Raw genomic sequence first — 12444 nt, forward strand, 5'->3', positions numbered from 1 at the left:
TTTAATAGTTCTCTGAATGTGTATAGGATCTGTAAAAAGTTTGGAATAAAAGCACAAGCTTCCTTTGGAGAAATGTGATTTAGTTGTAATAGCATTTCACTACTGCCACATTCAGTTCACCTGTGGTGGTAGTGCCTGTAACTTTGCATTCAGAGGAATTCGTGGACCTTCCTCCCTCTGCCTCCCCGATTTTGCCACTGAGTTTCATCTCTTTTCATGGTCTGGGCTCAATGTTTCTTTGCTGTGCTGTGACTGTAAAGTCTCTTTTATTGGTTACTTTCCCTAAACCTCGTATCTCTTCTCTATACCTTGGTTTTTGTTTTTCTATGAAGAGTATCTTCTTAACTCTTCTAGTACCTTGAGTAACCATGGGCTCTGGGAAGGGAATTTGAGGACAAATTGAGTAAAAATACAGTAAATTATTATGGGCTTTATGTAATGAGCAGAACATCAGAAAGGGCTAGGTGGGGATATTGTTTGCTGAGCTCTAGTGGGCAGAATTCCACAAAGGGCTAGGGGAGATTGTTTCTTGAAATCTCTTTCCTTTCCCTTTGCGTCTATTTACATGGCTAGAGCGCTTTATACATAGCATAGCATTTAGAGAACAGCAGTCTGCAATCCCTTGTTGCTTTTTTTTTTTTTTTTTTGGTATGGCTTTTGCCATGTGTATACTGATATGTTGACTCAACAAGTTAAACTTTTTGTGTCTTTTTTCTTATATCCGTGGTGTTCATCCTTAGGGCTATATAAAACGAGTCATATTAATGACTGCACACTTGAATGTGCTGAGTTTCTTTGCCAACAAATTCATTCTGTTGAAACATAGCCAGGAAATTGTGTGGGTGCCCTTTTTAAAACATCAAGCTGAATGAAATGATGATTTGACACCTGGGGCATATATATGGTTGAACACAAGTGGTTTGGATACTGGGACAGCGATCGTCTTTTTTTTTCCTTTTCTTTCCAACAGTAATGGGTTTATAGAAATGAACATTACAGAGGTTAATGGGAAAAACAAGTCATTCGGGTCTGCTCCACTCCTCTGTTCTGTGCCGCTCGGTTCTGCCTGTGGCTTCTGTGGCATTCCTCTGCAGTCTTTTCTGCCATAGGACCCAGGTTGAACACCAGAGGTGGAGGCCAGAGGCGGGGCACGCTCTTGCTAGGGGTGAGGCAGGCAGGCTGGCCAGGTGGAGAGCAACTCTGGGGCTCTCACCCCACGTGAATGCTGCTGCTGGGCCCTGGCGTTTGCTTACAATGAGGCTCTGATGTCTCAGTTTCAGCTACTTAGGTCATTTGGGAATTTTTATCTTGCCTCAGTTCTCTTCATGTTTAAAAGCAGGAACTACTTGCCTCTTATCTCCTAGGACCATAGACTTTATCAGACATGATGTCACCATTCACGCAGGCATTGCCGCACCACTGCCTGGGAAAAGACACTGCATATAAATCTTCCCACAGTGCCTTTAGGGGGCGACTTTTCTTATAGAAAATACATGCAGAGTTAACCATTTCTAGAGTGCTCTGGCGTACTTGTATACATTCATGTGATGTATGTGAGAAGCACTCCCACCACGTGGTTAAAATCATTCCTTTAGGTCCCGTCTTCCAGGAGCTTGCAGCTGAGTGGGCTGAAGAGCTCTCACAAGTGCGGACTCAGAGAGGAAGGAAGGGTGGAAGTTGATCCAGGAAAGTCTTTGCTGAGGACAGGCCAGCGGAGCGATCCTTTGTAGCTGAGCCAGTTTTGAGAGGCAGATATAAACGTCTGCCAGCCATACTAGGTGCTCCAAAGCTGGAAGCCATAGCTGGAAGTTCTAGTGAGAACAGTAGAGGGGGAGGCTTGGGAGAGGGAGGTGGAAACGTAGGATGGGGCCAGCACCCAGTGGCTCACACACAGCTGCTCAGGTGGTGCAGACACTCCTGTCCCACTGCAGCCCAGACTTCCTTGGTCTTGGGGAAATGAGAATTTGCTTTATCTGCCAAGACCCTAGATGCTACAGACGCTGCCGGCCCAGGGAGCATGCTCTGAGAACCCCTGGACTAGACCACAGAGAACCTAGGAGCATGGACTTCCTTTTGTGGAAACTGGGAGCAGCTGATGGTTCTAGAGTGAGGGCAAGACCTGGCCAGGGCTGTGTTGCATGCAGGGAGACTGATCTGGCAGGAGGTGCAGGCAGACTGGGAGAGGAAGAAGCCTTCCGGAGGATTGGCAGGAAAAGGAAGGAAGCAGAGTCAGAGCTGGGGTTCATTTGATGTTTGCAGAGAGGTGGTTTTTGTTTAAAGGATTAGAAGAGTGTGAGCAATTGCCAGGTAAATTCCCTTCTCCCCAGACCCTGGGGTCTGACATCAGGAAGCTTGTCACAGTCCCTGAGGCCCCCAGACTGTTTCCAGGGCTTCCCATCCTGGACCGGTATCTGCAAGGCCTTTCCAACTGCAGACTCTTCTTTCAAAACCTGCTCTTCCTTATCTCCAAGAAGCCCTTAGAAACTATTATTTATCTGTTTTCCCACAAAACGTTCCTCAGCTCCCAGTGTAGGCCAAAAGCCCCCCACGTATGTAATACCACCAACACCCCCCGCCCCCCATCGCAGTTTCCAGGCAGGGGGACCAGGTGGGCCTGTGTTTCAGACCGTAGGCTCCCAGCAGGCCAAGGCGCCTCCCCTCCCAGACCCTGCCTTGGCCTCCAGCCAGTGCTCTTACTGTGCACTTAGTTAGCTGGGGGCACGAAACACAAACTATTTGTCTTGGGAGGAGGTGCTTCTTTGCTTTCTTCTAAAAGGTTAGGAAAATAACCCAACACTCGTGATTTTTTTTTTCTTTTCTTTTTTTTTTTTTTTTTTTTTAGTTTGAGGGAAGGGAAGGAATTCTGCTCTTTGTGAATAATAAAGATTTCATTGAAGCAGTTCTTGTAATAATTCCTTTTAAAAATAAAACAGGATATTTGATATCTAATCTGTTCTTTCTTTTTTTTTAGAGATGGAGTCTTGCTCTGTCACCCAGGCAGAAGAACAGTGGTGCAATAATAGCTCGCTGCAGCCTTGAACTCCTGGGCTCAAACATACAGCTGTTGTTCTTAATGTTCAATGACATCCTAGCATTTTTTTATATTTGTGTTCTAAACCCTGTCCTTTAAAAAAAAAAAAAAAAAAACCCAAACACTACCTAGCATATAAAATTACTCTAAAAAATTGAAGTAAGTTTCAATGAAGTTTGGTATACAATCCATGGGGAAGGGATTTCAGGGGAACCCACCATTAGAATGAATCATTCCATCTGGAGTACCAGAAAACTCGATATTGTCGATACCATGGTGTTTTGTTATATGAAAGGAATAGTATGCATTGGCTAAACATTATGTTTTGGAAGAATGATAATGGCCTGGGCTGGGTGTGGTGGCTCATGCCTGTAATCCCAGCACTTTGGGAGGCCGAGGTGGGAGGATTGCTTGAGCCCAGGAGTTCAAGACCAGCCTGGGTGACATGATGAGACTTCATCTCTTTAAAAAATTTTTGAATTAAATAAATAAAATTTTTAAATGATAATGGCTTGGGAGAATGATCACAAAACCAGGCAGACTGGGGAAAGAAAGGCACTCGTCAAGTCTGCAGGATGAAAGGGAATACACAGAAACATGTCTGTCCTGCACATGAGACCCACGGTTCTAGGGACAAGGTGGTTTAAAGTGTTTAAAGAGTGCGTGGCTTGTGCAGGAGGAAACACCACAGCCTTCAGTCTACTCAAGTCCTTCTGGGAGCCCTTGAAACTCAGCCAGAGGGACCGGGAGTGTAGGCGGGCTCTAGGTGGCGCCAGAGCACTCTGTCCCCAACTCCACGGGTCTGTGATTGAGCGACCAGCATGTAGGGGCTGAAGGTCCTCCCCACCATCTCCTTATCAACACCAATCCAGCCATTTCAGAGGTGCCAACAAACAGAAACCACTCTGACCCCGGCTTGATCCCCAAATACATTCATTATGCACCAGGAAATTCAGAAGACTTGAGAAAAAAAGCATATATATTAGTAAATTTTCACTGTCCACAGTAACCAAGATATCTTCAGTTAAAGCAGAAAGAGTGCAACTCTTTTCACTGTGTGTCTTCATTTGCTTATTTAAAAAATTATCCCTAGGCCAGGTACAGGGGCTCACGCCTGTAATCCCAGCACTTTGAAAGACCGAGGCAGGCAGATTTCTTGAGCCCAGGAGTGTGAGACCAGCCTGGGCAACATAACGATACCCCATCTCTCATTATACAAAAAGTTAGCTTGGCGTGGTGGTGTGTGTCTGTGGTCCCAGCTACTCAAGAGGCTGAGGCGGGAGGATCACTTGAGCCCAGGAGGTCGAGGCTGCAGTGAGCCATGATTGCGTCACTGTACTCCAGCCTGGGTGGCAGAGGGAGAGCCTGTCAAAAAAAAAAAAAAAAAAGCCACAATTCGTATAAGAACTGCTGACCGTGTCATATGTAAGAACACATATATCTGTATATTATCTTTTTAAAAAGCAGCTTCTGGGTTTGTTTTCATTTTTTCATTGCCTCATACAGCATTGCTCATTCTCTTCAGACAGTTTGGAAAGAGTGTGTGCTTGTGCAGGAATAAACCAGGTGAGATGCATTTTCTGAAGGCATGGAAGTCTCACTTCCAGGCAGGTTCCCTGCCTGCCTCCGACAACTCCCACCCAAGATGCCTTCTGCACATGCATTCCCGTCCATGGGGAGCCCTCTTCCATGCCATCAGCCTCTCTGGCTGTGACGCCCCTGTTCGGACTGTCCTATCTTCCTCTTTCCCTGGCCTGCATTTTGACCTCAACCCTGTATCTTTTTGTCCCCGCCGATGGACACATCCACAGGGATGTCCCATAGCTATGGGAGATGCACAATATACACTTTGGGTTTTTGTTGTTGTTGATAATTATGGTAAAATACACATAAAATTTACCATCCTAACCATTGTAATGTTCAGTAGCATTAAGTGTATTCACATCATACAACCAATCTCCAGAAACTTGTTTCATCTTGCAAAACAGAGGCTCTATATGCATTAAACAGCAACTTCTCAGTCTCCCCTCCCCCACCCCCTGGCAACCACCATTCTACTTTCTGCATTCATGATTTTGACAAATCAGGTACCTCATATAAGTTGAATCATACAGCATTTGTCCTTTTGTAACTGTCTAATGTCACGTAGCATACCATCCCCAAGGTTCTTCCATGTTGTAGCATATGTCAAAATTTCCTTTTCATTGACAAGTAATATTCCATTGTATGGAATAGACCACATTTTGTTTGTCCATTCTTCCACCCATGGAACAGTATACGTTTTGACTAAATGGCCAGCTGTTAAAGTCTGTATTAGATATAAGCTGAGTATCATCATTATAGAATAAACTTCTAAGGTAAAAGTAAATCTGAAATGATATTATTATTACAATTTTGTTTTAAAACATAATGTTCCGATTTCAACAGAATGATTTTGGTCCAGGAACGGGATTGTTTAGCCTTCTCAGCTGCTAGAAGGCTTCTGTGGTCACTGCCTTATTCATTTGCAACACTGAATTAATTCTTATTTTAGCCTGAGGCCAGTGGAAGGTTGAGATGTATTTTGGGTTTTTTGGCTAACTGCTGGTTTAGGTTAATGTTACCAGCAAGCTGCTGTCTCCCCGATGTAACTGACCAAGCTAAAGGGCTAATTTCTCTTCATACTTGGATTTAAGGAATCGGTGCATGGGGATGATTCATTTTATTTGAAACAGTTCTGCAAACTGAAGCTTTGTGTACATGGGGAGGAAGATACTTCCTGGATATTTTCAGAAGCAGATTTAAGGCCGAGCATGGTGGCGCATGCCTGTAATCTCAGTGCTTTCGGAGGCTGAGGCAGGAGAGTTGCTTGAGGCCAGGAGTTTGAGACCAGCCTGGGCAACATAGCAAGACCTCATCTCTACAAAAAATAAAAAATTAAAATTATTATGTTTTTAAAAGCAGATTTAAGATGATTACTCTCCATTTTGATCATCTTTGCTGCATGAAAAGTGGCCCCAAAATTAGTGGTGTCAAACAGAAGTTCTAGTTGTAAAATTGAGCACAAAGCAATTGGCCTATACGGAGGTACTCAGAAGCATGCTATGTGTTAGGGCTGGCTATTTCAAGATTTAAAAATATGCTCTAGAAAATCTCTAAAAGGTAGTTATCTGCACATGATAGAAGGGTTGGGGAGGGAGGCGGTGTAAACAGTCACTGTGCTAGGGTTGCAGGCAGCAGACAGTCGCAGGGGCGTAGCAGCATTCCTGCCATGCAGCTGAGATGGGGTTACTACATCTCTAAGGCAGTGCTCCAGCTGCAGGGCTGCAGATGTTCCATATCTGTGCTGCCCAGGCAGTAGCCACTACCCACATGTGGCCATTGAGCACTCGCAATGTGGCCAGAATGACCAAGGAACTGAACTTTGGATTTTGTCACTTTGAATAAATTAACCACTTATGAATAAGGATAAGTGACTTCCCTCCTCCCTCTTGACTCGTCAGTGGCTACACCCGGGATTGATGTCCATCTGTCCAGGGCCAAAGCTAGGAATAGAGGCAGGGCACAGCTGCGACTCACTCTCTCCCTTCCCCCATGACAGGGGCCTTCCGCGGGGCTGGCTTGAGCAGCAGCAGATGCCCAGAAGCTTTGGGCCTTGGTTCTGGCTGCTGGCTGGGTTCCTCAGTCTTTTTCCACGTTGCCTCTGCAGGGGCCATACGTGCAAATGACTTCCTTCTCTCCTGTGTCTGGTGCGTGGGGCCAGGAGGTTGGGCGACAGCTGGGGCTGCCTGGTGTCGCTTTCCATACGGCCTTATCCACGTGGCTCACTTGGGCTTCCTCATGCCATGGCATGGCACGGTCACTGGATTCCTCATAATCTGTCACACGTATATATTTTTTAAAAGACAGGGTCTTGCTCTGTCCCCCAGGCTGGAGTGCAGTAGCGCAAACACGGCTCACTACAGCCTCAACCTCCTGGGCTCAAATCATCCTCCCACCTCATTCTCCCTAGTAGCTGCAACCACAGATGCGCGCCACCACGCCCGGCTGATTTTTAAATTTTGTGCTGAGATGGGGTCTTGCTATGCTACCCAGGCTGATCTCAAACTCCTGGCCGAAAGCAATCCTCCCACGGCAGTCTCTCAAAGTGCTGGGATTACAGGTGTGAGCCACAGCACCCGGCCATTTGCATGCATACTTTGTGAGAACAAAATCTGTTGCTAATATTCTTATATGTGCTTGCTAATGATAGTTTATCTGGGAGAACTTTTATTGTACCCATGGAGAACTGCTGACCCTCTAAACCAGCTAGTAGCCCAGTTATTCCCGAAGCAGGGCTGAACTAGCGTCGTCTTGAGTGTCAGACGTTTTCTTTTCCTAGCCTTCTCTTTTTCTCCCCTTTCCTCCAGTTTCAGTCAGTCTAGTTTATTTTCTTCATTAATTAACTATAAAGGAAGATGAAAGAAGTTGTGGATGTCATAGCACAGAGAAAGCCAGCTGAAAATGAAATTCACATGGCCAGAACCTTCCTTACGAGGATTTTGAGAAATTCCATGAGGTACAGTCTGGGTTTTACAATTGCTTTCCTTCCATGGGGTGCTGAATTTGTCTTTTATACTTTCTCTTTGGTTCCTGGGAAACTGTCATAAAGTCAGCATGTTCCACATTTTGCCACCCGTATACTTTTCCTCGTTAAAATGATCTGAGTCATCGAAAGGTTTGTGTTATACATGCTTTTCAGTTTTATTTTGTAAAATGTTCTTTATTGCATAATGTTCTTTAATGTTTTTGCCTGCTGGGAAAAACATCTGATCTCCACAAAGTATTTAAAGAGGCCCGCTTGAGCTCGTTCTCCATTCTTGATTGGGTTATCAGCTGTCAGTTCTGTCCCAAATTAGAGAAATGTAAAGCTGGCTTCCTACCATGAGGCTGGAGAAGTGAGCTCGGGAGGAGGATCTCACGCCCAGCAGTGTTCCCCTGGAGGCCCTATTGCATTACCGACATCCATTGGGATTTCTAACCAGACACACCTCATCACATCTGGGCAGATGTGGCCAAGACACTAAGAAGCCACACATGGGATGGTGGGGACTGTGGCGGGGGAGCCCAGGAAAGCTCGTCCATATTCAGGAGCCCTGGCTGAAGGGACTTTAGCCTTTTGGTGTGGGTTGTCATGACTCCCTGGGGGGATCTTTGGTTGACTAAGAGGCTCAGGGGAAGATGCGGCTACTAGTCTTAGTTAACCAGAAGGTGGCTGTCTTTACTTTGTTACCTAGGTAAATAGACACAGATAAGCTGTCTGAACTGTGTGTGACCCAGCCGCCTGAGGGACCCATATACCTTTTCTCCAGCAAAAGATAGGAGATGCTGTTTGTGTTCATACTGGGGCAGGGAGAGGGCAACATTTGCTTACTTATTTATTTAGAATAAATGTTCTTTATTTATTTTTACATTTGTAAGATTTTAAATTGACAAGTTAACAGTTGTCCATATTTATGGAGGAACACATTTTAGAGATAAGGGCTGGCTGAGTGTGGTGGCTCACACCTGTAATCCCAGTACTTTGGGAGGCCAAGGTGAGTGGATCACTTGAGGTCAGGAGTTCAAGACCAGCCTGGCCAACATGGTAAAACCTGGTCTCTGCTAAAAATACAGAAATTAGCTGGGCGTGGTGGTGAGCGCCTGTAATCCCAGCTACTTGGGAGGCTAAGGCAGGAGAATCGCTTGAACCTGGGAGGCCCAGGTTGCAGTGAGCCAAGATCATGCCATTGCACTCCAGCCTGGGCAACAAAGTGAGACTCTGTCTCAAAAATAAAATAAAAATAAAGATAAGGGCTGCTGCACATCTAGAGCCTGTGATTCCCACTCTGCGTTAGGGCAAATGGGTGGTGAACAAAAATCTAAAAAGAAGGTGTGGGTTTGGATTCAGCTGGCAACCCCTGAACATGGTGCCGTGCACCTGCCTGAGTTGCTGTGATCAGTGTCAGTCTCTGCACTGTTTGGCACAAGCGTGCGCGCTGTGCGCATTCCCTGAACCCCCTGCACTGTTTGGCTCGAGCGCGCACGCGCTGCTTGCGGTCCCCAAGCCCCCTGCACTGTTTGGCACGAGCACGCGTGCGCTGCGTGCGGTCCTCGAGCCCCCTGCACTGTTTGGCACGAGAGTGCACGTGCTGTGTGTGGTCTCCAAGTCCCCTGCACTGTTCGTTTGGCACACGCGCATGTGCTGTGTGCAGTCCCGAGCCCCCTGCACTGTTTGGCACAAGCGCACGTGCGCTGTGTGCGGTCCTCAAGCCCCCTGCACTGTTTGGCACGAGCGTGTGCCCTGTGTGCGGTCCCCAAGCCCCCTGCACTGTTTGGCACGAGAGTGAGCGCTGTGTGCAGTCCCTGACCCCCCGCCTCCCCTGCGTTCTTTTCTAGGAGGAGCGAGCTGGGCTGGAGGCCTCACTCCTGGCATGCCACCAAGTTCTCTGACAGCCACCCCGAGCTAGCGGCCTCCCCATTCACCTCCACCAGCGGCTGTCCTTCCTGGTCCGGCCGACACCACGCGAGGTAGGCACCCATTCCCGTCCAGGATGCCAGGTTTGTTCAGCCTTCTGCAGGGAGCGCACTCCTGACTGCAGAATGATTTTGATGTTTCTGATGAGACTGGGCCACCGACACATAATCACAGTTGGAGGGCTCTGAATTTTTGACTGAACCGGCAAGCGTGTGACACAAAATGAAATGGCAAGACAAGGCATGAGCAAGAAGGGGAGCATAGGACTTGGGTTTCAGCCAAGCTTCTTTGGGATTGGCCAGGTGGGATGCCAGGCAGTAGGGTTCTGAGCCGGTGGGGTGGCATCCACGGCACCCCTCTCCTTTCCAGGGTTTTACACATGGACTGGAAGGCAGGAGATATATATGGGGTGGCAGGTATATCTTGTAAAAGCTCCCAAGAGGTTCTTTAAGCTTTGGTAGCCTCTCCTCAACCCTCTTGGAGTTAGTGGCAGTATCCTCACTAGTCTCCTGTTAAGAGGATGGCGGTAACAGCAGATAGTCTGCTTTTGGTGTGCGTGTGTGGATGTCTCCCTGCTTGCGTGAGTGTGTGTGTGTATCTGTGTATGTTTACGGGTGTGAGTGTGTGGGGGGGTGTGAGTGTGCATGTGTATTTCTACACGTTTGTGTGTGTGTGTCTTTGTATGTGTATGAGTGTTCATGTGTCTGTTCGTGTGTGCCTGTATGTGTGCCTGTGCATCTCTTTGCTTGTATGTGCATGTGTGTGCACATGTATATGTGTATGTGAGTGTGTGAGTATCAGTGAGCATGTTTGGTGTGTGTGTGTGTGTGTGTGTGTGCGCGTGCGTGCACACGCAGGTATGTGTCTGTGTTTGGAGCTAATGTAACCACTCAGTTTTTGGCTGTTAATAAATGCTGGTCTTGGCTGGGCGCAATGGTTCATGTCTGTAATCCCAACACTTTGGGAAGCTAAGGTGGGAAGATTGTTTGAGTTCAAGACCACCCGGGACAACACAGCAAGACCCCATCTCTATTAAAAATAAAAGAAAATTAGCTGGGCATTGTGTGCACACCTGTAGTCCCAGCTACTCAGGAGACTGAGGCAGTAGGATCACTGAAGCCCAGGAGTTCGAGGCTGCAGTGAGCTATGATTGCAGCACCGCACTCCAGTCTGGGCAACAGAGCAAGACCTCGTCTCTTAAAAAAAAAAAAAAAAGAAAAGAAAAAAAAATACTGGTCTGTAAAATTGCAAGGTAAAGATTTATATGACACGAAGGAAAGACAACTGAAATATAACATTACCCCTAAAGTGACAAAAGATGATGGTATTTAGAGCCCAGTGTATTTTTTGGGGAAAAAAAAAACACAAAAAAACAAAAAGCCACAGATTCTCAACTGAGTAGTAACACTTAAGTGAACAGTGGGCCTTTTATTTTATTCCTGAAGTGACTTAAGGTGATGAGATCTCCATTAAGCCCATTTGGCAGTCTCTTGATGAAAGAAACATGCACACTGCCCACATCTGTGTGGAAACAGTGCTCAGAGTTCTCTAGATCTGCTTGGACTTGGGATCTCACAGAAAAGTCCCTTCCAGAATACTGGTGGGTAGTCAGGAGCATGCCCCGGGTTTGAGGATACGTGGTCTGTTCTTACAGAAGATGGGTGGGAAACCCAAACAGTCCTCTCCCTCCCATAGATGACAGCCAGTTGTTCTCCAGTGTTCTGTCCTGGTCACACGGTTCTCTCATCCTCACTCTCCCCCAACCTAGTGGAGCCACAGCTTCTTCCTGTTGAAGGGTGAACATCTCAGCTTTGTTGAGCTTTAAAGAAAGCACTTAACATCCTGGATAAATAGTTTCACCATTGAGAGCTCTCAGTCACACACAGTTATTACCTTACAGAGGAATCAATGTGTCAACTCACCGTCAATTTCATCCTCTTAGACACCATCCTGTTTAGGAGCCTGTGTTTTTTGGTGTGAGTGTCAATAACTCTGTAGGGTATAACCAGTTAGCTGAAAGCTGAACACAGCAGTGTGTGATATTATTATTATTATTATTATCTTTGAAACAGGGTTTTACTCCATTGCCCAGGCTGGAGTGCAGTGGCGCAGTCACAGCTCACTGCAGCCTCAACCTCCCAGGCTCAAGCCATCTTCCCACCTCAGCCTCCCAAGTAGCTGGGACTACAGGCATGCACCACCACATCCAGCTAATTTTTTAAAAAGTTTTTATAGAGATGGGGGTCTCACTATATTGCTAAGTAAGGCTGGTCTCAAACTCCTGGCCTCAAGTGATCCTCCAGCCTCAAGTGATCCTCCTGCCTTAGCGTCTCAAAGCACTGGGATTTCAGGTGTGAGCCACCAAACCTGGTCTGTAACAGGCTAGCTAGTAAATGCTTTTGGCTTTGCAGGCCGCACATCTCTGTTGCAGTTACTCAGCTCTTTCATTATAGCCCAAGAGCAGCCACAGACACTACGCAGACACATGGGCACAGTTGGGTTCCAGTAAAGCTTCATGTATGAACTGAAATTTGAATTTCATATCATTTTCACAGGTGAAATAGGAGAAATAGTATGCCTCTTCTCCCACCATAAAACATATAAAAACCATTTGGGCTGGGTGCGGTGGCTCATATCTGTAATCCCAGCACTTTGGGAGGCCGAGGCAGGCAGATCACTTGAGGTCAGGAATTCGAGACCAGCCTGGCCAACATGGTGAAACCCCGTCTCTACTAAAAATACAACAAAATTAGCCGGGCACAGTGGCAGGCACCTATAATCCCAGCTACTCGGGAGGCTGAGGCAGGAGAATCGCTTGAACCCAGGAGGCGAAGGTTGCAGTGAGCTGAGATCACGCGTCTGCACTCCAGCCTAGGCGACAGAGTGAGACTGTCTCAAAAAAAAAAAAAAAACCAAAATCAACAACAACAACAACCTG

The 12444-nt window shown here is 46.7% G+C and overlaps 1 protein-coding gene across 2 annotated transcripts in view; it reads left to right on the forward strand.

The window, feature by feature from the left end:
* The window catches only part of SHROOM2 (shroom family member 2), a 163015-nt gene that overhangs the window by 95121 nt on the left and 55450 nt on the right, over positions 1-12444 (forward strand). For both annotated transcript variants that reach the window (NM_001649.4, XM_005274500.5), the window contains exon 3: positions 9428-9559. In NM_001649.4, the coding sequence (NP_001640.1) occupies positions 9428-9559 (132 nt within the window). The remainder of the gene's footprint in view (positions 1-9427; positions 9560-12444) is intronic.

This window comes from Homo sapiens, chromosome X (genome assembly GCF_000001405.40).
Source record: "Homo sapiens chromosome X, GRCh38.p14 Primary Assembly".
NCBI classification, from domain to species: Eukaryota; Metazoa; Chordata; class Mammalia; order Primates; family Hominidae; genus Homo; species Homo sapiens.